At 38.3% G+C, this 27,914-nt stretch overlaps 1 protein-coding gene across 1 annotated transcript; it reads right to left on the bottom strand.

Annotated features, from left to right (window-relative positions):
- Window positions 1-494: 494 nt before the first annotated feature.
- CHMP4C (charged multivesicular body protein 4C) lies at window positions 495-27,562 on the bottom strand. Its single transcript, NM_152284.4, has 5 exons — window positions 27,194-27,562; window positions 6,769-6,946; window positions 4,526-4,640; window positions 1,715-1,868; window positions 495-1,530 (listed from the first exon to the last, which is right to left on the bottom strand). Exons 1-5 carry the CDS (start codon window positions 27,381-27,383, stop codon window positions 1,466-1,468), a joined length of 702 nt encoding a protein of 233 aa, NP_689497.1. The 5' UTR covers window positions 27,384-27,562; the 3' UTR covers window positions 495-1,465.
- Window positions 27,563-27,914: the final 352 nt, after the last annotated feature.

Raw genomic sequence — 27,914 nt, 5'->3', positions numbered from 1 at the left:
AATATGTAATATAAACCATGAAAAGAAATGACAGAAGGTAGAGCACTGCAACAGCATATAAGGGAAAAACTGACTTTGGGCAATCAAGCAAAGTTTCCGAAAACAAGGACATTTTTAACTAAGATTTAAGGAATAAATAAGATTGGTACCTGCACTGTGCAGGGTAGGAAGACTGCCAAGGAGAACAGAATGTGCAAAAGGCCTGTGGCAGGAAGGAATCATTAGAAATCATCCAGTCCAATCCTTAAGTTTGCCAGTGAAGAAACAAAGGCTCAGAGAGTCTAAGGCTCATGTTAGTGTCAGAGCAGGGACTAAAACCCAGGACTCCTACCATCGGGTCTAGTGCTCTTTCCATTCCACCATGTTGGTAAGCAAATGTAGAGAATACTAAAATATCTTATTAAATGATATTTGTCATTTGATGGTCCATGATCTATTATGGGTAATACGTAATTTTGTAATTTATTTTCATTTAAAAATAATAACGGCCAACATTTTATTCAAGATGTACTTTTAATTGCCAATATTTTTATGTATTTACAAGAAATATTCTGTAAAGGGTAAATAAATGTACAAGAGAGCACAAAACAGAACAGAAAGAATACTCATGCATTTATACACTGAAGCTGTAACAGCATCATAATGGCCTGGGAGTGTTCACGCAGTTCCCTAAGTGGCTAAATTACACCCAGGAGATTCTCATTCAGCAATATAAGCTGTTAGTGCTTTCACACGTTTTGGGAAATGCATCCATTGCCCCATTCCAAGCTTAATTGGTATAATAAATGTCAATTAAAGCTCCTTTAAGATTTCAAACTGCAAAACTCAAGTGAAACTACTTATGTAGAGACTCATATAAGACTCCTCTACTAAAAGGCTCTCCCAAAAGAGACACAGTATATTTACATTTACCATGGGTACAGGGATACACGTCATTCGCATAGGAAATAACATTATTTCTCCCCCCCACCCCCCGCTATACTAAATGTATTTTTTTTTTTTAGTTTTTGAGACGGAGTCTCCCTCTGTTGCCCAGTCTGGAGTGCAGTGGCATGATCTTGGCTCACTGCAACCTCCATCTCCTGGGCTCAAGCGATTCTCCTGACTCAGCCTCCCAAGTAGCTGGGATTACAGGTGCCTGCCACCATGTCCGGCTAATTTTTGTATTTTTAGTACAGACAGGGTTTCTTCATGTTGGTCAGGCTGGACTCGAACTCCTGGTCTCAACTGCCTCAGCCTCCCAAAGTGCTGGGATTATAGGCATGAGATACCGTGCCTGGCCTCCATCACTGATTCTATGTATGCACATGACTCCTTTTTTACTTTTACTTAGGAGGCTTAAAACACAATTATTCATTCAATATAATTATAAAGCAGAGTCTTTGTTAACTTCTGAACTTGGTAAAAACATTTTTTATATTTTATCTATAGCTCATTAATTTAGGTATCAAAAATGTGTTTTAGTTTAGGTAGCCCAAGCTGCCAATTGTTTGATATCATCATCCTCTTCTTCTGCCCTCTGGGAAGATGCTGGAACATAAAATAGATAAAAATTAGTAATTGGTGACATTCACACTTTCAGCATAGAAAACAGGTATGAATTACATATAAAAATGTGTTCAGTTTGAAATCAAAAACATGTGCTAAAAAGAATGGGCCTGGCTATCATTTTAGGCAACTATCTGACCACATGTAGTTGAGCTGGGTAACAGACCTGCTCGGGATCGACGTGCAGTGGACGACATGCCTGGTTTTCTATTTGGCTGTGCTGGGAGAGAAGAGGAAGGCACATTTGGAAGGCGGATATTTGTCATCTTCTTATTTAATTCCTCCTGTTCCAATTCTTCAAGTTCTGCCATCAACTCATCCTGAACACAGGAGAAAGGAAGAATTATGGAGTTAACGTTTCAAGACATGGGTTTCCTCAAACACAATAACAAGAACATCTGCTACCCAATTGATATGTGAGAACCCAGTGAAATGGAATATTTATTTTAAAACTAAGTCTTTTTTGCAACACTGAGCAATGATTAAAAAATGAATATTCTGGGTTGTGCAAATTTGTTGTAGTTAATCTTCTAATACTTCAGTAAACAGCCATTCAAGTAATTTGTGCTAGCTGAATATATAACCTCCCCACAGTTTCTGGGAAACTTACACCTTGTCTGTCATCTTTCCAATGTGTTCTTTTCTACTGTTTAGAATCCACAAAATGTTAACTGGTGGAAATAAATGTTTTTCTTTGGGCTAATGCGATTGAAAATAAAACAACAGGTATAGCAAAACCATAACGTACAGAAAGTAAAAGGAATTAAAGATACTATGGTTCTTTTATCAAATCACCAAAGCCAATATAAATTATGCTGTGCATTTGGGTTAAGAAAAGTTCAATTCAAGATAGGTATACTGTATTTCCTTCTTTTAGCAATAGTCCGAGAGAGCCTGGTTTAATCTTAAACTACTCTCTGTCCCAAAAACTTTTGAGAGACAAGGCTAGTTTGAGACCTTAAAAATGTAAGTCACCTTATGCCAATTCTGAGATGACTCAGATAGTTCAGATCTCACTGGCTCCATAAGTCCTGAAGTAGAGTCCAACCCCTCTCAGAGAGAATTTGGGAGTCACAACTGAACTTGTCATTGATGGAATTATGAGGTTGTCACTATTAGAAATGACTTGGGACACCTTATATTCAACCAAGTAGATTTTTCTTTCATGGATGAATAACGAATGAGAGAATTCATTCATTCATTATTCAACAAATTCATTGAGCACTCACTCCTGGGCAGATTTTGAACTCAGTGCTGGGATGCAAAGTTGAATCAACACTCCCTATATTCAAGGAGCTTACACTCAAATGTGGGGGGAAGGCACATAAACAAATAATTATCCAATATTAAAGTGAGAGTAATAACACTGTGGGGAAAGAGAGAAGATATTTAAGCCAACCACAACATTTGATTAAGTCAGTGGGTATCAGAATTGCAGCAAGCTAAAGATTGTCTGACCTCTATTAAATTCGCCTCATAAAAAGGGAAGAAAATATGAAGGTGTATAGCATTGGGCCGTATGAAATAGCACAGTCAATATAGTTGTGTACTTGATGGATCTCCACAGGCTATATGACTAAAATGGAACAGAATGAATACCCTGGCGTCCTATTTCTGCTCACAAAACAATCAGGGACAAATACCATAAATATAGTAATGGCAGAACAAGCTATCCTATGCCGAATGTATGCCCACAATTGCCAATAGTGCATCATCGTTATCAACAGCAGCAGAAACATATTAATGTTTTCTTTAGCAATATGGTAACAACAGAGTAATCATCTCCTCCATCATTTTCATCCTTTAGGTACCAAACACTAATTTGACCATTGAGAATAGAATTTTGGAACTTAAGATGTTTTGGAGATAATCCAGGGATCCAAAAATCTTCATTATCACAGATAAGAAAACTAACAGTCAGAAAAGTAAAAGAGACTTACACAAAGTTTTTAACAAATGATAGAGCCCAGATGTCCACATAAGCCCAGATTCCTTTCCACCATATCATAATGTACTCACTAGATGCTTACTAGTCTACATCAGGAGTTGAAAAACTTTCTCTGTAAAGGCCCAAATAGTAATATTGCAGGATTTGCAGGCTGCATGTTTTCTTCTGCCCCATAGTCTCCTTTGTTGTTATTGTTTTCTACAACATTAAAATTGTGAAACCCATCCTGAGCTTTTGGGATATACAAACAGGTCACGGGAAGAATTTGGCCTGCAAGCCATATTTTTGCTGACCCCTTGTCTACACCATTTTTAAAAGGTATTGATACCCCATTCTCATTTTTGGGGATTCCATGGAACCAGGTCTTACTTGCTAAATGTGTTATTTTTAATATCACATAGATGCAGGAAGTTGGATTCTTTGCCATGCTAATCCAAGCTTTGGAAATGTTTCTAAATGTGTACTAGTCCTACTTGTGTGTGCTTTGAGCAGAACAATTGAAATTCACAGTGCAGACATCACCATTATAATTATAGTCTGTCTGTATTATTGGACTGATTAATCTAAATGGAATGTGTGTGTTAATAATGCCACTCCACATTTATTTGGTTTCATAGCCTGAGTAATAAACAGAGGCAGCCTAACCTCTAATTTAACAGCTACAGAGCATGATACGTCTGTTTCATGCAGAATGACGAAGTCTACTTTGTTTTGCCCAGATGTGCAAGCACTCAGTTCCTCGTAATGGGGCTGTTTAGGCTTCAACCACTAAAAGTCACTAACTTTACACAATCACATGCTGTTCTTTCCTTAATAGCTGAAAACTTAATCAGGCCACTGTTTGCCAAACTGTATTCATCTTTCCTTTAAATCAGAGGTACTAACACTTTATTTTTCTCTTAAGAGAAGTACCTTTCTTACAAATATCACTTGTTCTTTCAGTAGTAAGGGAACATGCCTACTATATATGACAGGAAGCTACTCTTTATAGCAGCCACAATCCTGCATTCTTCATATTGGGTTACGTACCTCATCAAAGTCATCACCAAAGCCAACCCGTTGAGAAAATGCTTCTGAGATTTCTTGGGCGATATCCTGTTGCTCTGTGATCTCTTGCATCAAATCATCTATTTTGTTCAGATCCCTGGGAAATCATATTTTGTTGAACATTTTAGAATTTTAACTTATAATTATGAATTTAGATATAATCCTATATAAAAAGTCAGTTCATTTAATATAAATTCTTAGTTATTTGAGTAGGATAAATATTCCTGATGATATTTATAAACTTTAAAGATAACTTATATTTTAAAAACTTAATAATCCATATATTATAAACATTAAGTAAATACCTATTACATTTGGAACTCACTAAAAATAAAAGTATTTTATAACTATCACTATTTGTAAACCCATTTTGAAATTTTGTCTGATAGGGCATATGACAAATTTAAATACATGCTGCTGTGTATCAACTCTGCAGGAAACACTACCACAGACCACCAGGACCACTGTAACTAGATGAGCTTTGGCAGCTTTTAGGAGCCCCTATCTGACAGCGGCCCTTTGTTGAAGCTAAACACTGGGTCTAGAGATCTATTTTTTGTAACACTTAGCAGCTCTGAAATCCTGGCTCCCCAAGGGTTTTTGCATAGCGGTGATGCCCTGAGAGGTTACTAAAGAGAGCAGGATTAAACCTATACAGCCCTCAGAAGAATTAGCAACTGCAGCAAATAAATCTAGGTAGCTACTTGCTCAGGATGGACAGCCACTTTGAAGACATTTTCCAACACCTGAGCTTCACTGGCTCCTAAACACCCGCCTAAGCATGTCGGTGTCTACATGCCAGGTTCTGGTATGTTTCTATAGTAGCTTATCTCTGAGTAATTCCTCCAACTCTGAAACTAGGCCAAACTGATTGGATATAAGAGAACTGACAATGTCCCTCATTATTAAGTAGCCTAAATACCAAAAGTTTGATTCCCAGTGGAAGTAATTTTTTTGTGAGTTTCCCTGACTCTGTAAGAGCTATTTTGACATATTTTCATGCAATAATCAAAAAGAATACTTTTACCTCCCTCTGACCATCCCTTATCTTTAAACCTTATTATTCTATTTATACTGAATATAAAACAAATATATTTTTAAAAGGAATATGAAAAAATGTATGGCTCAACTTTGGGCCTGGGAACAAATTTTTCTCAAATGTAATACAATGGTATGATGCTGCCAAGCTGCCTGGAGGGAAAGGCTGATTTTGTGACACATTTTTGTATCCAAAAGCAATAGAGAATTTTGACTCTGATAATGAATCTAATGTCTACCTGAAGCTGTCAAAATGGAGGCTGATTGTTAATGAATTATTCAGAAAAGAAAATGTTAGCAAAGTTGTCTTCACTGCCCCCAGCCACCACCTTTTTCACCTTTTCCCACTCTACAGAAATTTGTCTGCATCTCTTAGGCACTCATTGCTCTTGTGCATCCTTGCCCCAGGTTCCACTATCACATCCAATATCAGGAAAGGATCCGGTCCCAGACATATTTCCCAGTGTGAATGTAAAGCAAATTGTGAATATTAATTATTGAGTGCTCACTTTGTGCCAGGAACTATACTAAGTGCATTATATCTAGTATCTCATTGAATCTCACAATAACCACGAGGTAAGTAAGTACTATTATAATCTCTAATTTACATATAAGGAAACTGAATAAAGTATAATAAATTGCCCAAGGGATAGTCAGCAGTTGACCTGGGATTATAGCCCAGAAAATTTGACCCCCAAATCCATGCTCATGACTATTCTTCTGTGTCAGTGGTTCTCAGACATTGGTTAGCATCGGAATCACATGGACCCAAACACTTTGCAAGTTCAAGTAGCCTGGGCATCTGTGTTCTCTTTATTTATTCTCCAGGTGATTCTGATTCCCTCCAAAGTTTGACAGCCACTATCCTATAAATCCAACACCCTCACACAGGTTGAAATCGAAGCCTTTTTTAAACTGTAGAATTAAAATATTTACAGGTACAGTTTCCAGCAATCATAAAGTAATGGGGAAACATTACAGGAAAAATGAATGCCCTTTCTTTTTTCATGGTCTTTTTTGTTGTTGTTGCTATAACCTTTAATCTTTCTCTGAGACAGTATTTTATTCAACATGTCAAAGAGCCTCAAATGAGTAAACCCATTCCTGCCAAAACCATCATATGGTTCCAAAGGTTCTTCCCAACACTGAGGGAATTTATGATTCAGAGGGAGACCAGAGTCACTCACATGTTTTCATGAACAGATTTCATCGCTTTTGCTGCAAAGCCCATGTTCCTCAACACCTCAGTGTTGGTGTGTGAGTTCTCCAGGGCTTCTCTCTGGAACTCAATGGTAGAAAGTGTGCCATCAATCTGAGTGAGCTGTTTCTCGAACCTCTTCTTTCTCTTTAGTGCCTGTAATGCAGCTAAATAAGAGAGAAGCCACATTTATTAGGAAAGAGAAAGAGACACTAAATCAAGAGATGTTTGCTCAGCACCACTATGGACTTAGACCTTCTGATAACTAAGGACAACGAGTATACCAAAATAAACCTGAGAAATAAACAACTCATATTGTCCTCTCAATTACCTATACCAACTAGTACCGTCTCCAACATTTTATTATTCTTTTCTTCCAAAGATCTGGCAAGTATAAGCAGATGGAAAGTCAGTTTTCCTATTCCAAAACATATGCCAAAGAAATGTTTTGTCAATGTCAGATTTTAGAAAAGGATAGATAAAAATATGAGTAAAAATCATACAATAGAAAAGTAAACCATTAGAGAACGTAAAGACCTTAATGGCCTTTGATTCTAGCCCCATTTTCTTAAAGGCAAGTTCATTGAGACCAGAGAAGTGAAGTGACTTGCTTAAAGGCAGACAGTTAGTGGTAGCTGCAATAAGAACTCAGAATACTGAGCTGTATGTCTTGGTCTGAAATGATTTTGAGATGGCTATTGAGGTTACATCTAACCGTGAGCATCCATGAATTCAGCACTGCTAGAGTTGTATTCAAGGATTAGATGGCACAATGGTGAGAGAAAAGAGCAGGGCCTTCAGAGAAATGATAACCAAATAATCTTCCCATTAACATTTTAACAAGATAACCTAACTTGCCTCACTCTAAAACCACCAAACAAGTAGAGCCCTCTTGACTGTGGCACCTTGGAAGGCAACCAAAAAAAGCCCTAAAATATCTGTTTTGATAATGCATTTAGGGAGAGAGCAGGAAAAGAGCAGCAGCAGAATGTTAATACGAAAATAAGTGATAATTAAATGGAATTGGCAAAAGAACTCAAATGGTTTTAAGGTTTCAAAGTAAAGCAGGTAAGTTATCACAACAGAGATTTTGGAGAGAAGTCTCTCTTCTAACTGTTTTCGTCCATTTCTTCTTGTAATTGCAACAAATTTGATTGATTCATTCCAGTGCTTTTTCCATGGTGCACAAAGACTCAGCCATTATACTTTCTTGGTGGATTTTATTGTAATCAAGTATTACTCTCTATCCCATTCATTCTTTTTTGCTTTGAATTCCATTTTGTTTTATATTAAGTTAATATGCCAGTTTTTTATTACAATTTGTCTCTAAAAATTTTTACATAGACCACTATTTCAACATTGTTTTATTCTATTTTTATATACATATTAAAGACACCTATATTTCGCTACATGAGTGTTTAGTTTTTATGATTGTTTTTGACCCATTTAGATAGTCTCTGTTACTTAATGTAAGATTTTCACTCAGTCTCATTTATTGTAGTAACTGCTATGCTATCAGTACTGTTTCTTTATTGTCATCTTTTTTGTGTTTTCTGTTTGTTATGCTTTTTGTTCTCTTTCTGCTTTCTTGTCTTTATGTAGATCGATTAAATTGTCTTTGTTCATTTTTTCCCTTTAATTGTTGGGCAATTGTATATACTGAATTTTTTCTCTTAATGGATACCCTTAAGACACATATAATTAAACAAGTTTTCTTCTATGTTGAAAGGAAATTAATCAGTATCTATAATTTATTGTTCCCAAATAAGATTCCCTTCCCACTCCAAACCCTGAAAGGTTTGATTGAAATCATCTGCAATTTTATTAGTTCCTGATGATTCATAGAGTTTTTTTATTATACTTTCCAATTTTAAGGAAATCTTTCTTAACAATTGCCCTAAGCTTCATAGACACAATTTTAACAATCATAAGCTTCATAGACACAATTCTAGCAATCATTTATAAATTTCTTACTATTGCTTCTTGTATTCTATATTGTCCTCTTTCTTGGATTGCTTCTTTATTTTACTGGAGTAAAACTTTACAGTATTATATTTTCCAGAAAAGGTGCATTGATATAAATTATTTGAATGCCTATAAGTCTGAATATGTCTTTATTTTGCCTCAAACTTGAGTGGCAGTTTGGATTTTTACAGAATGCTAGGTTCAAAATATTTCAAAAGATTATCTTTTAATAGCTAACTTTTTAAAAAGTTTGATAATAAAATTATCCTCATCCCTTTGCAAATAATCTCTTTTCTTGTTTCCTCTCCAAAAATGTTAAAGACTTTCTTTTACACTTTGGAGTTAGGAAATTTAACTGGTATGCATCTAGGTATGTATCTTTTGTTTTTTGCTTTTTCCAACTGAGCATTCGGTGAGTATTTTCGGTCTGAAGGCTCAAATCTTCCCTCAGCTTGAAAAAATTGTATCCTATTATTTCTTTTATCACTCTTTTCTCCTCTGTATTTCTGTCTACTATCTTCTGAAATTTGTATTTTTTTATTTAATTATATATACAATTACACACACACCCTGAAAACATTCTGTTTTCTCTCTTTTGAAATGCCTATAATATAAGATGAACATTGTATTCTTTGGCTTTGTCCTATATATTTTTTTGTTTTGACACAGGGTATCACTCTGTCACTCGGGCTGGATGCAGTGGTACAATCACAGCTCACTGCAGCCTTGAACTCCTGGCTCAAGCAATCCTCCTGCCTTAGCTTTCAGAGTAACTGCAACTACAGGCACATGTCACTGTACGGAGTCTTTTTTTTTTTTAATTTTTTTGTAGAGACAGAGTCTTGCTATACTACCCAAGCTGGTCTCAAATTCCTGGCCTCAAGCAATCCTACTCCCCTTGGCCTCCCAAAGTACTGAGATTGCCGGTGTGAGCCACCACACCCAGCCCTCCTTGTCTTTTTGATCTATGTTCTGGGAGAATTCCTTGACTTTATTTGCAGATCACTAATTTAGTCTTCAGCTATATTCATTCTACTTTTTTACCCTTTTTTAAAAGATTATGTTTCTAACTTCTAAAAACTTGTTCTTTAGTTGCTCATTTTTTAATGGCAGCCTATTCTTGTTTTATAGATGTAATAGCCTCTTTAATCTCCCTGCAAATCTCTGCAGCAAGCTTGAATTTCTCCCCAGAAAATGAGGTTTTCTTTTCTATTGCATCATCAGGCTGCAAATTTCCCAAACTTTTATGCTCTGCTTCCTCTTGAACACTTTGCCACTTAGAAATTCCCTTCACCAGATACTCTAAATCATCTCTCTCAAGTTCAAAATTCCACACATCTCTAGGGCAGGGGCAAAATGCCTCCAGTCTCTTTGCATAGCAATAGTGACCTTTACTCCAATATCCAACAAGTTCCTCATCTCCATCTGAGACCAACTCAACTTATGTAAAGCCACATAGCCTTACATGTGAATGAGGGAGCCCAGATTTGAAGGTAAACAACCCTAGAGCATGATGTTCTATTGTTGTCTTCTAGGTACTGTTGTTCTTGTCATGCAGGTGAGGGAACATCACTTAAAATGAGTACAGGTCATGCATCATGATTATTACACACAGGTATTAAGTGGTTTAGGTAGAATTAAAACGTAGGTCTAGAGCTTCAGAGCTCCACCCTTTATACCAAATTGCTTTTCCGTATCTGCTGGTGCATTTATCACACTATAGTAGAATTATGTCTAAAATGTATCCTACCTCACCTCTCCTATGCCTAATTATAAGCCCTTGGAGAAAAGAGACAGCATCTTATTTACCTGTTTCCCCAGCACCTTGTCCATTTCCTGGCACCTGGCCAACAAAATACATAACAAAAACTAACATTTATGGAGCATTTGCCATATGTTCAATTGGTGATAAGTGCTTTATGTGCATTATGTGATTTATGACATTTAATTCTCACAAGAATCCCAAGAGTAGATATTGGTCATTTTACAGAAATAAAATGAATAGATATTAGTGAATAAATTTGATAATTTTGCACATAGAACAAGGACAGCATGATATAATGGAAAGAGTGTGGCCTTTCAACACCAGAGTGCAAATCCCTCTTCCATGACTTCACAGATGTGTGTTCTTGGGCAAGTCACATCCCTTCTTTAAGCTTTAGTTTGCTGTTCTGGAAATAGTGATTATATCAGGCTGCGTGATTATAAGAATTAGTGATAATTTATGGAAAACACCTTATATAGTCCCTGTGAATGATAGGGATGTAGCAACTAAATAAATAGTAGCAATTTATACAACATTCATAATTACTAAGCTTGCATTTTTTTTTTTTTTTTTTTTACACAGAGTCTCACTCTGTCACCAGGCTGGAGTGCAGTGGCGCGATCTTGGCTCACTGCAACCTCCAACTCCCTGGTTCAAGCAATTCTCCTGCCTCAGCCTCCCAAGTAGCTGGGACTACAGGCATGCGCCACTATGACAAGCTAATTTTTTGTATTTTTATTAGAGATAGGGTTTCACCATGTTGGCCAGGATGGTCCAATCTCCTGACCTCGTGATCGCCTGCCTCGGCCTGCTGGGATTACAGGTGTGAGCCATCACACCCAGCCCTAAGCTTGCATATCTTATTTCTGAGACTACCGCATAACAAATTACCTATTTGTTTTTACCATACCTTGTTGCAGGAAGTCAGGGACCCCAAATGGAGGGACTGGCTGAAGCCATGACAGAAGAACATGGATTGTGAAGATTTTATGGACATTTATTAGTTCCCCAAATTAATACTTTTGTAATTTATTATGCCTGTCTTTACTGCAATCTCTAAACGTAAATTGTAAAGATTTCATGGACACTTATCACTTCCCCAATCAATACCCTTGTGATTTCCTATGCCTGTCTTTATTTTAATCTCTTAATCCTGTCAGCCGAGGAGGATGTATGTCGCCTCAGGACTATGTGATATTTGCGTTAACTGCACAAATTGTACAGCATGTGTGTTTGTGTAATATGAAATCTGAGCCCCTTGGAAAAAGAACAGGATAACAGCAATTGTTCAGGGAATAAGAGAGATAACCTTAAACTCTGACTGCCAGTGAGCCGGGCAGAACAGAGCCATATTTCTCTTCTTTCAAAAGCAAATGGGAGAAATATCGCTGAATTCTTTTTCTCAGCATGGAATATCCCTGAGAAAGAGAATGCGCACCTATGGGTAGGTCTCGGGACTGGCCGCCCCGGGGCGTACCTGTCTTTTATGGTCGAGATTGCAGAGGTGAGATAGACTCCGGTCTCCCATAGCGCTCCCAGGCTTATTAGGAAGAGGAAATTCCTGCCTAATAAATTTTGGTCAGACCGGTTGATCTCAAAACCCTGTCTCCTGATAAGATGTTATCAATGACAATGGTGCCCGAAACTTCATTAGCAATTTTAATTTTGCCTTGGTACTGTGGTCCTGTGATCTCACCCTGCCTCCACTGGCCTTGTGATATTCTATTACCCTGTTAAGTACTTGATGTCTGTCACCCACACCTATCCTACCAACGTGTGATGTCTCCCCTGGACGTCCAGTTTTAAAATTTCTCTCTTTTGTACTCTGTCCCTTTATTTCTCAAGCCAGCTGATGCTTAGGAAAATAGAAAAGAACCTATGTGATTTTTGGGGCAGGTCCCCCAAAAATACCTCATCATAACAGAAACATAATATTACAAAACATTTCTACATTTCAATAGGTACAACAAACAGTACTATTCAGCAGAGTATCCTATGAAGCTAAACTCTAAATATACATCCCCACCCAACATACCCGGAAGTGGAATCTTCAGAGTGCATGTCTTCCCTATCTCGTCAGGCTGGTTCAGTGCCTATACATATTTGGAACCGAACGGGTACCCATTGACCCTAAGGCTTTACTCTTTTTTTTTTTTGAGCAACTTTTTTAAGTTCTCCATTTAAAAATATGTCATATTTCTTAGTAAAAATTAATTTTAGATAACTTTCTGAAAATCTAGAAAAGCAATTTGGTATAAAGGGTGGAGCTCTGAAGCTCTAGACCTATGTTTTAATTCTACCTAAACCACTTAATACCTGTGTGTAATAATCGTGATGCATGACCTGTACTCATTTTAAGTGATGTTCCCTCACCTGCATGACAAGAACAACAGTACCTAGAAGACAACAATAGAACATCATGCTCTAGGATTGTTTACCTTCAAATCTGGGCTCCCTCATTCACATGTAAGGCTATGTGGCTTTACATAAGTTGCTTACTGAAAAATGGAGATATAACTCATTTAGTTGTTGAGAAGTAAATGAAATAGCATTCATAAAATGTTTCGTTCAGTGGCACATAGTGAGTGATTACTAAATATTAGGGATCTTTATCATCATCATTTCCTTTGTAGGTTGTCAGAACCACATGGTGGGACTCTCATGGTATGACACTGAACCTTACAATTGTTAGTCATTAGTAATAATAAGTTCTGGTTTGGACATAATTTTAAACACCTATGTTAGCATATGGTTTCTGCTTTTCAAAATATTTGGGAAATTTTTTAAAATTCACCAACATTTGGGATCTCAACTTACACTGTAATTCCCATACCACACACTACATGTTGGCCCAACCAGAGTCCCAAACTCAGAGGGAGCCAGGCAGATAATGAAATTAAGTGAAGCAGCTAGAAGGTCAGGGAAAAGTCCTTCTTTGTTTTTTCTCCTGTGAGAAAGAAAGAAAAAGAGAGAACTGTTTCTCTTCTATAAAAATAAAAACTAGTGCAATGGTGGCAATACAGAGCAACAGACACTGGCCTCAGTATAAGGGAGTCAAGAGGAAGAACTGGAGACCCCAGTGATCTGGGAGCATAAACCTGATCTAATGGAAGCAGCACTGTTGGGATTCAGTGCCAGGCTGCCTTGCAGACCTGTAGTCCCAGCCTACCATGTGTTCAAAAGAAGCAAGACATCTGGATTTCCATGCAAAATTCCCCAATTTTTACATGCTATTTTACATTTTTCTAAAAACCTGTGTGAATGAAACCAGTAACTTCTGCATGGCTGGATCAGGTCCTAGGATACCTGACATTTACTATGATTTCTGCCTGGCACGTTAAGCTTCTCCCAAACATTAAGACAGGAGGCTTTTGTTTTAAATAACCAAGAAGTGTATGTGAGTCTCTCAGTGAGCTGTTCCTTATATGAAACGATGATGCCACTGATACATCATGAGCTGGACAGGCCTTAACCTTGTTCCCTAATAAACAACTTGGGAAAGAAGCAGCTGTATTTTTTCAAAGGCATGCAACAAATGCTGCAAATCAAGCATTGTTACTGATTTGGCCAAAAAGGACATTTTCAGAGCCGTGAAATTTAACCTGTGTAGAAGGTGCAGTTCAATCTTCCAAACTCCTGTATGTGCTTTTAAGCAGCTGATGAGACCTGGACAACATTCTTTCTAAGACAAAGGAATCTACTGTATTCCTTTGTGGTAGAGAAACAGCCAGGGGTTTTGTCTCCTTGCATAACAGTGATGTTCCTTCAGCACTGGAGTTGCCGAACAATGTCGTTTATGTACTATTGCTAGCAGGATACGTGAAGAGTCCTTACTGCAGCCCATTGGGGATTGGAACTAAAATGCAAAAATTATCCATTTGAACCAAAATTTAACTATTCCTATGCAACTCCACTATGCTGCCAAGGGACGAAGGCTTTCAGTCATTTATGCCAAATAATTTAAACTAGCAGAAAAGAGTTTCAATTTCATTGCTCATGTAATGTATAGGACATTTTGGTTTTAAAAGTCAACCTGTTCTTCGTTCCTTTGGGGTGGATAAATGTGCACATTGTTAATCCATTAGTCAGCACACAGGAAGAACCTTTTAGGAACCATCATATCCAGTGAACACAGACAAACCTGTTTTTGAAAGGTGAAACTGCATTATAATAGCTTTTCTCTGTCCCAGGAATGATCTCTAGAGAAGGGCTAAAAGATGAGGCTTTAAAGAGTAAGCCCAGATATGAGAATGCTTAAGAGACATGTCACACATAATTGCTTATGTCATTTTTTGCTTTTAACTGGGAAGGCTCGTGGTCATGTTTTATTTGAGGAACTTTAGTGTAAGCCCTGTTCTTACTCATATACAAATCACCTCATTAATTAAACAATACCTTCAATTTATGGCACATTGTTTTGGTTTTCAAAAAGCACAATCTGAATAAGCATCATCATAGACATTTCCCAAATGGAAAAAAAACAAAATATATCTGCTCAATGTCACAGGTTAGATTGAAAACAACTGGGGAAATAGAAAATTTTAACACGCATTTGGCCAGAGGCATCCCATTATGAATTTCACTGAACGTCTTTACTTTTAAAAAATACCTTTATTCATTCATTTCAGTCACTTAACAAGTATGTATTAAAGATCTATGACATGCCTGGCACTGTGTTAGGCACTGGAGGGACAAAGAAATAAGGCTCCAGTCTCAGAGAGAGACAAAATATGAAATGGGCAATCACCTATTCATCATTCAGTAAGCATTTATTAAGCACCTACTATGCTATAGGCACAGTTCCTAGGGATACTAACGTGTGTAAGTTACATTCTTTACCTCAAGTAGTAGAGAAGATGTAGAGGAGAATAAGAAGAGATATGTACAAGGTGCAGTGGGTACCCAGAGTAATTTGCAGGCTCTCTCTGGAGGGTAAGGGAAGGCTTCACAGACATCGCTGTAGCAGTAACCTTGTTCAACAGGCCTTACTCGGTGAGCAGTTCTATTTACATTACCATTTCTTTTCATATATGGAAAGAAATATGGCTACATTTCTTCTATGTAGATAAAGTCCCCAGTGACTGTCTATATGTATACTCAACACATTGATAAATAAAGAACATGAATGATGAAAAAGGTATTACACAATGGGTTCCTTCCACCCCCAACCCTTTCTCCTACTACAAATCTCATACCACTGAAAAGTTTCTGTCTGAGATATATTAGAAATTGGGAACTATAAGCCTCAAATATAGAGCACATCTTCGTTTTAAAGATTTGCACTCCTGCTTGCCACAGCAGCTGAATCTTATATGTAACCTCCATATTTTTGGAGGTCTCATCAATATTAAATGTCACATGGAGGGTAAATAGCAATCTAGAAGAAGACCAACACACAACAGTGATATATAGGATTATATAATGCTAAAGCAGATGCCTGAGAAAGCAGTAAAAAGGAATGAGATTGCAGAAAGTAAATAAGAGATATTCTAAGGGCATTTGGAAGTGCAATATTGCTATAAGCAAGCTAGTAACTTTGGACTGAATTTTGTGTTTAAACAAGGTGATTGATTAATACTATAAAGTATAAAAGAGGAGAAAAATAGGCTGGCTGATCAGTGCCCTCTCTTCTCCAGAGAGACAGCAAACGGGCAAAGGAAATTAAGGTTATTTTCCAACAGAAATGATGCTCCTTATTCTAAAGAGCTTGAGGTTGTTTTTGAAGATGAGGCAATTCTTGCTACCAGGATATCACGCAAGAGAATATTTAAAAAGGTAAATCTGAGAAGGGAAGTTCATGATCTAAAAGTGCCTTGAGTTGTCAAAAAAGGAAGAAATGCTTGCATAAAAGACTTATTTTAAATACTCACTAAAATTCTCATCTCTTGTAATTAATTGCTTCAGAAGTCAATTGCTGGGCAAGAGAAATTAACATATTTGACCAACATACCAATACACTAATTAAAATCTATTTTATATTCTTTGTAAAAATCTAATTAATTGTTTGATACCAGTCAGAATATATAACTAATTGAATAAATGAGTCTTTTATTTGCTGCTAGTGTTATTAATAACCCCACAAATTGTTAAATTTTGGGGGCCTGTTATCATCTAGAATATTTTTTAAGTATAAGTATGAAGCCATATTTATATATTTAACAGAAAAACTCAGAAATAGCTGATTATGCTTAATTTTACAAAGTAGATGTGTGTACCTACAGATGTAATTTATTATATATAATATATTATGTATATATTTAATATGATTCAATTATCTACTTGTAAAAAAGTATTCCTTAGTCATCTTATGCAGCAATATATCATAGCACTGTGCCTGTGGCTTGCAGATGCTCTAACACGTGAAGTTCAAGAACCAGCAAACTGTATTCCTTTAGCCCCTCTCAGTTCTCACTGTCTGTGGTTCTATGACTATTCCTTTGAGCCCCTAACGTCAAAAAATCTTAAAAAATATATAGCTCCTCAAGTTAACTGTTAGTATTTGAAATTCTTTAAGAATAGATTTACCTTGAAATTGATGATGAACTATACTATTCTTTAATGTTTTCAAATACAAGTAACACCAACAAATCAATATAGTTTTCATAAATAAACCTTTTCAAACTGCTCACAAAATGATAAAGCATAGGCTCTTACATACGGGGTCTTTGAAATACTTGCAAATTAGTTGACCATAATCATAATTTTTTTTCTACAGTTAATACAGTAGAAGTTTTGAGTTACAATAATATCTTTGTTCAAACTCCAAGGTTATATTTACTTTCACTTTATATATATTAAATATATGGAAAGAAATGATAATGTAAATAGCACTGCTAAGTGAGCAAGGCCTGTTAAACAACGTTACTGCTGCAGCAAATAAGACGCACCCAGTATGACTACGTAGCATATAACACCATGTGATAGAGCCAAAAAGATTCACTAAGACTTCATATTTAAATAAAGAATAAAATGTCCAAAGTACTTCTTAAATGTTTAGTTGCATAATTTTACTCCTCTAAATTTCCATCTAGGTTAAACATACACATGTAAACTTTATTTCATTTAAGCTAGATAGCTGACATTGAATTTTAATTTTTAAATCAAGAATTTAACTCTTAATGCAAGGCTTCCCAACTGTTAACAGAGAATGACCTATTTTCCTTGCCTGTAATTTTAAAATTACCATTCTCGTTTGCTTGCTTTTTTGGGGCTTGTTTGTTTTGCAAGTAGTGATTACAGTGTTGGTATTTTAAGTCACTAGATTCTTAGATTGGGGAAGAGATGTTGGAGGTTGTGCAGAGTGATAGTAGTGGGGGCTTCTAGCTACCTGGAAATTCCTACAAATGAGAAATACCTGCAAAAAGGCTTAGCAGTGGTTAAAAAAGCCATTGGTCTAGGTATAATAGCTCTTACTGCTTTAAACCATGATCTTAGAAGCTTTGGACAGGGTCCTAAATCTTTCCAACAAGCAATTCCCTATCAGCACCAATTGCTTGAAGTAAAGAATCAAAATGTCTAGTACAGGAAAAGTCAATTATTCAAAGAGTGGCATACTGTATGTTTCATATTTAATTCAGACTTTTGTTTGTTTTAATTTTATTTTTTCTTCTTCTGCAAACTTTTAAACTAACTGTGTATTTGTTAAAACTTCTCTCAAATGATAAGCAGAAAAGGTAGGAGAAACGAAAATTACCAGTAGGCATGAAAAGTATGAAACTAGTTAAGTTTACTAAAGCAGATGAGACTGTGGCATTTAAAAATAAATCAACAATATCATCTGTATATCTTAAGTTCTGTGATAATTTTATTCCTTAAAAGTACAAATAGATTCACATGTACTTAGGCATAGTACAAAAAACGAATGTCAAAATAGATCATTCTTACCCATTCCAAAGCTGACCCCCAAAGCCAAACCTTATAATTTTTTTAACTGAGTATTAGATCCCTTGTCTTATTTATCACTGGTTAGAGTATCTGGTACTTTTATCTTAAAAAATCACCTGAAATAAGTGGTCCTAAGTACTGAGAAATAAACTAGTAGTACTAAGCACATCTGTAGGTAAGCTCACAGTACTCTCTTGCCATAATTCCTTGTAACTGTGTAAATCCTATGACTTTGGCATAATCATGGTGTTAGTAATACCTTTTCTAACTTATTCTACCTTATTTTGATTGACTCAATAAACTGTAAAATAGTATAAATGAAGGGAATTATATTATTTGCTTAATGTAAATATTTCCCCAAATGTGGTGCCTTTCATCCTTGTGGAATTTAAATGAATAATGATAAATGTTCAAATATTTACAATACTGCTCCAAATTCATGAAAAAAAACTAGATGTAATATTATATAACATAAGAAACAGTAGCAATTGCTCTTCTAGAAGTTGCTACAATCCATCAGCAAACTGTGTCACACACACTAAAAGCAAAATTCTAGAACAAAAATACTCCAGTTTCTGACGAGTTAGAAGATGATGATTACCCTAAGCCAATATGAGTTCATAGCTATGAAAAATACCAAAATAATTTCATAGGCTTCTTTTCTTTTGGTTGCTGGATACTGACTCAAGGAAAAACTGTAGATCATCCACTAGCCTCCAAGCATTACACACTTCAAAATCACCCCATCTTTGAGTACCAAGATCCTGAACCTTATTCCAGATCCCTTGAAACAGAATCTCCTGGTGTGGCATTTTTAAAAAGCTCTCCAGAGAATCTGATGAAGGTAACACGCTATCAGTTCAGAAGCCAGCATTTGTGAACCCCAGGTGTGTAAATACAGTTCAGTTTTAGGAATATTATTCAGAAGGAATATTGAGGGCATTGCTGAATAAAAGAGAAAAAGCTGGAGAAATAAGATGATAAGGAGTAGAAATGTGGGTCAGGTGTATTTATAGCTAGATGAACATCTGAATTCATTGAGTGTTGATCTGTCAAACTGGGATTATGCCTTAGCTCCGGGGGTTCCCAAACCCCGGTTCATGTCCTGTTAGGAACTGGGCTGCAAAGCAGGAGATGAGCGGCAGGCCATTAAGCCTTACCACCTGAGCGCCATCTCCTGTCATATCACCAGCAGCATTACATTCTCATAGGAGCGAGAAACCTATTGTGAACTGAGCATGCGAGGATCTAGGTTGTGCACTTCTTATGATAATCCAGTACCTGATGATCTGAGGTGGAACAGTTTAATTTCAAAACCATTCCCCCTACCCCCCAAACAGCCATGGAAAAATTGTCTTCCATGAAACTGGTCCCTGGTGCCAAAAGGGTTGGGGACTGCCGCCTCAGCGGATGAAACACGGTTGCTATCATGCAAAGGCCATCCTGAAATGAAGTCTCTAGTGGCATGCCAAGGTTCTGTCCTTGGTTCTGTCTTATTCAATATTTTAACAACAACTTCTACAACAACAATAGAGGCTGCAGGTCAAATTTGTGGCTAATTTAACTAAAAGAAATAGCTTGCATATAAGACAATAAAATTGGAATTAAAATCTTAATTCTAAAACAACCGAAAATAAGAGGACATTTAATAGAAATAAATGTCAAATACTAAATGCAGCTGAACATATTGATTTCCACGGGAGTGTGGGGAATAATTTGGCTGGGAGTTTTAGCTCTTTCCACATCCAATGGGAAAAAGGCAAGTGAAATGGGTATCTGAAAAATCATATTCAAATTGAGACAGTATTAACAGAACAAAATAAATAACAAGCCCAGGCCACTCTGTGCTGTCCAGTAACTAAGGGTGCAAGTGCAGTGTTAGTCTATATTGGATCCTTGCAATGGCTCAGAAAAGAGAGGGAGATAGTGGGGAAGCTCAAAGTTTAAAACAACAACTTAAGTGAAGAGGGTTCCCAGGGCTAGGTGCCCATGTCTCAGGTTTTCCTACTGTGGGGTGAAAGCCCAAGTGGAGCTTCTGGTAAGGGAGGGAAATTAGGGATGAAGGTTGAGGGGAGGATCATGTTTCCATTGATCTATCTTTTCCAGGAGAGGGGTAGTTGACTGGAGAGTAAGATCTGGCCTAGGTATTGGTTGTTAATGCCCCAGGGATAAGACTTTTTTTTTTTCCACCCCCCCCCACAATCCCCCAGGCCTTAGAATACCGAGTATGGTACAAAATAATCAGAAAATCAAAGGCACACAAAGAAATGTATTTTAATGACTGATTCTAATTTGAATACTGGATAAGTCTGACACAGGGTGAAAACCGTCTTTACTAAAAATTAAAAAAAAAATAGCTGGGCTTGGTGGCGCACACCTGTAGTCCCAGCTACTCAGGAGGCTGAGGCAGGAGAATCACTTGAACCCGGGAGGCAGAGGTTGCAGTGAGCCGAGATCAGGCCACTGTACTCCAGCCTGGTGATAGAGCAAGACTCCATCTCAAAAAAAAAAAAAAAAAAGGGAAAAGAAAAAAAGAGTAAGCAGAGGGAAAGGTGGATAGATATTTCATCCAATTATCTGAGTGATGATAGAGGAAGGGAGAAAAAGTACGAATGGGTGAGGAAGAAAATAGAATAAATAGAGAGTAATCCCTTCCAGTTTAACAGCTTATTGAATAATACTTCATAAATTCTCAAAGTGGGGAGCAGTCATTGAGTTACTTGTTCAAAGTCCAAATTTCTGGACCCTATAATTAACCTACAAAATTAGAATCTTTAGTGAATACTTATGAGTGAAATAAACAGAAGGAATTGTGATGCAGGTGATCTGAGTATCACATTTTGAGAGATTGTCTTAAGAATGGAGGTTACTAGGTAAGTTATATCTCCCAGGGGAACTTCCATCAAGCTCTTGCAGTCCATGGCTGTGTCGTTTTACCTGAGCCATGGTTTTGCTATCACTAGTTTGACATTCAACTAGCTGAATCTCTTTACACAGATGTCCTTCTGATCTGCAGTGTCTGAGGACTGCAGAATTGAGCTCTATGACAACTATGATAAAAAGCAAAATTAAGAGACCGAGGAGGTTCTTCCCACTGAACTAAGAGTGGGATTGTGCACACTCCTTCTCTCCAAAGAAGATCAAGTCCACATCATGATTCTGAAAACAAATTCATCCTTACCAATACAGCCCAGGCTTCAAAGTGAGAGAGCTTATTCAATAGAGGACTTCTGTCCTGGAGACTCACTTCTCCAAACAGACACCTGATGAAGAGGTAGAACAGCTTCTGAACCCAGTTTTCACTGGAATCGTGTGTAATGATATTGAGTAGGGGTTTTGGCCAAATTTGCTTTCTCTCCATCTCAACCCTTAATCCTTATCAGCCTACAAATCACCCCAGACTAGATCCACTCATTTTCACATATTTACATATTTGGAGTTACTGCTAAGCCTGGGATATGGCAAGCAATAGAGCTAGGACTAGGATGAGGGGGAAAAAGAGGCAAACTGCAAGGAGGCACTCACTCTCAGGGTCACACAACTGTGTCCTAGGCATCTCACCTGCCTCATCCTTGACCTGCCCCTAGTGAGAAAACCTCAGCACAGTAAGGAGTCACTGAGGAGGGTGAAAAAGGTAGGCAAGGAACAGGAGACTTGAAGAATTGATTGCTGTCATAAAATATGTGAAAGGCCTTCAGAGGACAGATGAAGTAGATTTATTTGGTGGTATTCCAGAAGACCAAATTTGGCCAAAAACTGGGCCAAGTACAGCTTTTTAAAATGTAATTAGTTTATACCAAGAGCTAATGTTTATAAAGCACTGCACTGAATGCTTTACCCAATAATGTCATTCATCCCCACAACTCCGAGGATTTATGTCATCGTTGCCATTATGCAGATAAGGAAACAGGATTAGACAAGTCAAATTATTAGTCTAGGGTCATTGAGCTACTAAGTGGCCAGGCAGGGATGGAAATCAAATGTGGGACTTTATTTGGCTGTCTGCTTTGAAGCCCAGGCTCTTAACTACAACACCAAGATACTTTCTATTAAATATGCAAAAAAATGGATTGGGATATTATATTTAAGCAAAAAATAAATCAATAAATAAAGTTGGAATAGTGACCTGTAAGGTGTGTATTGCCAGATCAGTGTGGCAGGAGAGTTCTGCAGTGTGCTGAGATATTGATACCCTTTAGCTCCCAAGGCCGGAAGCACTGGGATAGGAACAGATCTTGTTTTTCCATCTCATTAACATTCCTATGGATTTAGGCTTCCCATCCTTAACCCTGGCCCACAGGTCAGAATCAGGTGGGGGCACTTTAAAAAAAACAGATGCCTGATCCCCACTCCAGTCAATTATATCAGAATAAATGGGGGTGGGCCCCATGCATCCAGGTGACTATTTAAGACGCAGTGCTCAGAAGAAGTAGAACAAAAAATTAAATAATATATAAAAAGTTAGCTTTTCCACAAAGTAGATTACCACCTATAAAGCAAGAGTTATAGCATAGTAATCTAAATAAACTGCATTCAAGAATCTCTGGCCTCCTAAAGTTTTTAACCAAATTATAACTCAAGCTCCAACTGTTACTCTTTTGATCAACAGAGGCTTGGATAGCAACTGTTGCAAAATCAATTTGTTCATGTTTACTCAAATTCTTTTTGCTGGATGATGATGGTAACTGCCAGATAAATTTGAAGGGAGGAGAAGTAGCTACCCCTGTACTATGAGTAGTAATGAGTTGTAATGAAAGCAAGTTTCAGACTAAATTCTGCATATACATTATTAAACAAACATACACTAGCAAGCACAAAAAATAATTTGCCAACCTGTCCCATGAGCTCAATGAAGTCCCAACTCTAGGTACTTTGAGGTGCTCCAATTCACCCTGCATGAAAGGCTCACTGAGGAAGACAGCAATGTTCCCTGGCAGGTGCTGTGCCCTATTAGAGGTGCGCACCATCAGAAACCCACCTAAACTAAGGACTGGACACTGCACTGATTTGAGATCTAGTTTCAGGCACCATTCTAGTGTTAAGTTAATTACACACCTAGTAGATTCATCCTGTTCATACATGGGGTGGGTGCGGAGGGTATTGGAAGTGTCTCTAAACTGTTTTAGCAATCCACATATTTAGAATATGTAGAATTTCACCAATTAGGCCAGGCCCAGTGGCTCTTGTCAGCACTTTGGGAGGATGAGGCAAGAGAATTGCTTAAGCCCAGGAGTTTGAGACCAGCCTGGGCAACATAGGGAGACCTCACCTATACAAAAAAAAAAGAAAATTAAATAGCTGGGTGTGGTAGTGCGTGCCTGTGGTGCTAGCTACTCAGGAAGCTGAGGTGGAAGGATCACTTGGGTCTCGGAGGTCAAGGCTGCAGTGAGCCCTGATCACACCACTGCAATCCAGCCTAAGTGACAAAGCGAGACCCTGTCTCAAAAAAATTCACCAGTGAGATCCCGTTTCTAACATTTATTTATTTATTTATTTATTTATTTATTTATTTATTTATTTATTTATTTATTGAGACATAGTCTGACTCTGTCGCTCAGGCTGGAGTGCAATGGCGCGATCTCTGCTCACTGCAACCTCCACCTCCCAGGTTCAAGCAATTATTTTGCCTCAGCCTCCCAAGTAGCTGGGATTACAGACACGCTCCACCACATCCGGCTAATTTTGTACTTTTAGTAGAGATGGGGTTTCACCATGTTGGCCAGCCTGGTCTCAAACTCCTGACCTCAAGTAATCTGCCCACTTCAGCCCCCCAGATTGCTGAGATTACAGGAATGAGCCACCATGTCCTGCCCCATTTCTAACATTTATTATGCTAATTAAAAGTTTTTCATTTTACCAGTAAAACTCATTTTGACATTTAGAATGCTGTCAAAGCTTCTGTTGTTGTAGAGAAATTGATCTTTGAAGAATCTGAAATGGCTAGGAGTGTGGCCTTTTCTGATATAATGCTACCTGGCCATTCAGAGAATATATTAGCTGACCAACCATCTCTAATAATAAAACTTCAATTGCACATAAATTATGTCACCCTGATTATCATATAAATTACAGCCATTCTAGCAATGGCATTGTGCCACACAGGGGCCATTTAGTAGTAAGTATATCAGGTTTTATTTTACTATTTTATATCACTTGGTGGCTAATAGAAGACAGTTAACTATGTATATGAAGTTATGAAGTATATGAAGTTATCTGGTTTATTTAGAAGGTTCTGATATTGAGCGTGTTACCAACGCAGGAGCCTAAGATTGAATTCTTTCCATAGCTTAGATTACAGATGACCTCATGCTAACCAGCCTCTTCTTACTCCCAGAGTCACTCTAGAAGCTCTGGGAGTTTCTAGACACTAACACCAGTGAAGCTTCTGAAGACAGAGTTAATGACTTTTCTATTAAAAATTAGGGCTAGGCGCAGTGGCTCACACCTGTAATCCCAGCACTTTGGGAGACTCAGGCAGGAGGTTCACTTGAGGCCCAGAGTTTGAGACCAGCTTGGCCAACATGGTGAAACCCCGTATCTACTAAAAATACAAAAATTAGCTGGGCATGGTGGTGCACGCCTGTAATCCCAGCTACTCGGGAAGCTGAGGCAGGAGAATCACTTGAACCCAGGAGTTGGAAGCTGCAGTGACCTGAGATCCTGCCACTGTACTCCAGCCTGGGCGATAGAGTAAGATCCTGTCTCAAAAAAAAAAAAACTTATTTGCCATTCATACTTGCATCTATAACTTTCTTGATTTAAGGAAGTTAGATTGGTAGTCTTAATTAGCACTGTCTTTAAATTTTTTGTCTTTATTCATAAAGTCAAATTGAGATCGAATTTTTGTGCATTGCCAATTGAAGAGTACCTCTGAAAAAAATCAGTAAAACCCACATTATTTTGCACTCTGTCTTTGAAAACAAATTTACATTTTTACCACTTCCTAGAAGGAAATGGTCAATTTTTTAGATTTTTAAAACCAACATCAGCCAGGTGCGGTGGCTCACACTTGTAATCCTAGCCCTTTGGGAGGCCAAGGCAGGTGGATCACCTGAGGTCAGGAGTTCGAGACCAGTCTTACCAACATGGAGAAACCCTGTCTCTATTAAAAATATAAAATTAGCTGGGTGTGGTGGCACATGCCTGTAATCCCAGCGACTCGGGAGGCTGAGGCAGGAGAATCGCTTGAACCTGGGCGGCAGAGGTTGCGGTGAGCCAAGATCGCGCCATTGCACTCCAGCCTGGGCAACAAGAGTGAAACTCTGTCTCAAAACAACAACAACCACCACCAATATTTGCTGAGCAACCATGGTAGACAAAGCTGTACACAGATCCAAATAGATGGCAAAGGGAAGAAAACCCTTGACAGACACTAAGCAAACGTCAGAGTGTGTATCAAACTGAAGAGGAAGGGCCAAGGAGCAAAATGACCAACAACATTTTTAGCAAGCCATAATGACATGGTCTTTCTTTAGAAATTGCCATTGCATAACTTCCCAGAATATTTTCAGACACAAAGTAAAAGTAGAAATCAGTACTTACCTCTAAAACAGGCTATAATATGCACAAAAGTTATATGCAATAAAACAGCCTTCTTATTGTTGGTGGTAAGTGGGCATAAATGTAGCTGGCACACTTTTACAGAAAGAGGCAGAGTTCTCAAGTTCATCTCCTTGAGACTTCATTCCTTTCCTGCATTAAACAATGGCAGCATCCTGTAGAGTGAGCCAAATCTTCCCAAGGCTTCATTATGACTAAAGAAGCCCAACTTGAGGGTGCAAATGTTTGGGTTTGGTGGTAAGCAGAGTCCGATATTGCCACTTCCTTTTCTGGGTCTGCCATGAACCCGGTGTTACAAGAGCAAATCACTTCAACTTCTCACTGAGTTTTTATCTGTGCCACAGGTGCTGTTTAGAGGTATTCCAATAGAAGGAGCAGTATACTGAAGAAATCAGTTAACTCTGGCAAAGAACAGGTGTTCAAGGTGCAACAGGAACACCAAGAATCATTACTGACTCAAAGTCTCTTGTGTGTGCCAAAAGTCAGTGATAGGAAATTTAATAATTAATTCCTCTACCTTTTTTTTTTTTAAGACTTCAACTGCCGAACATCCAGCTAAAGCTTTCCACAGCTGAGGAGCAAGGTAGACCACAACGTACTAGAATATCCTTTTCTGAAGATTTACGTGCAAGTTAAAATGTGTAATTTAATATACAAACATACAGCAGAAAACTTCATGGTTAGTGTTGGAGTCAGCAAGGCTGGCCTAGAAAAAGCTGGACCAGGAGCAAAATTTACAGGGGTGCGAAAACACTCAGTAATCAAGACAAATAATATTTTAATGCAATATTTTTAAAATTCAAAATTAATATTAAAAAATCCACGATGAACAAATCATCACATTATAAAAAATAATTTTAAATAAAGATGTGCTGCACATAACAACATAAGAGCTAGAGGCAAATGAAAAAAATCAATACCAATCTTGTCTTTATTTAAAATTTTGATATTTTCTTCATCATTTCTTTTTTGGCATTGGTTCTGAGTCCTTTAGGTATTGCATTAAAGTATTGTTCATCTTGATTACTGAGATTTTTGGCGGCCCCTTACATTTTGCCATCAGTGCCAGTGTCTAGCTCAACTCACCCTAGTCAGTGCCCTAAGAGTCAGTACCAGTTCCTAGAAAAGACTGCAGGAGCAAACCTGGCCACCTGGGGACCTCAGTGGTGTGGGCCGATTGTCCCCAAGGGAAAGGCTAGAGGCAGATGGGCTCCCGCCTGTGGGCCAGACCCCAGCCTACCTCGCTTATTCTGCGTGCCGTGCTTCTTGGCCAGGGCGATTTCTCTCTGGATTCGATTTTCCAGGTACTCTTGTTTCTTGCCCAGCATCTCCTCAGTCTCCCGAAGTCGGACCAGGGCCTCCTGGGGACTGGGAGCGGCTCGGCTCTTAGAAGAGCCGCCCCCTTTAAAGAACTTGCCCAACTTGCTCATTGCTGTGGAGTTCGGAGGGCCAGCGATCCCGGGGGCCTCTCGGGAGCTCCCCGGGGCCGCGCCGAGGGGACAGGTGAGCAAGGCAGTCCTCTCGGGGACCCAGACCGGAAAGGCGGCCCTCCTGGGAATCAACAAGTCGTCCTGGACAGGTGACACACACTCCAGGGCATTTCCTGGCTGCCAGTTCGGCCCCGCCCCGCTGCACAGCGGCTGGGCGGGGAGGCCACCGCTGGGACGTCGGCTGGCCGGCGCCACCCGGCCCTCTGGGAGTTGAGCGAGAGCAGAGAAAAGTTGAAAAGACCGACAAAGACTGTGGGAAGTTGGCTTTTATCCACACTAGGGACGGTCCCAGGAACGAGGAACTAGTTTGTGAATGGCTCAAAGAAAAGCAAACCGATGTCCAGGGGTCTTGTGCAGGACCTGAAAGTGTAAGTGCGCAAGACTGGATATGCAAAATGCTTTATTCCATGCGTGTCTTTTGTGTGTACGTGAGCATAGTGTTCCTGTATTCAGGCCTCTGTTCTTGTGAAT

This window comes from Homo sapiens, chromosome 8 (genome assembly GCF_000001405.40).
Source record: "Homo sapiens chromosome 8, GRCh38.p14 Primary Assembly".
NCBI classification, from domain to species: domain Eukaryota; kingdom Metazoa; phylum Chordata; class Mammalia; order Primates; family Hominidae; genus Homo; species Homo sapiens.
Note: the sequence above shows the minus strand (reverse complement) of the source record. Positions and strands in the feature narration are given on the sequence as shown.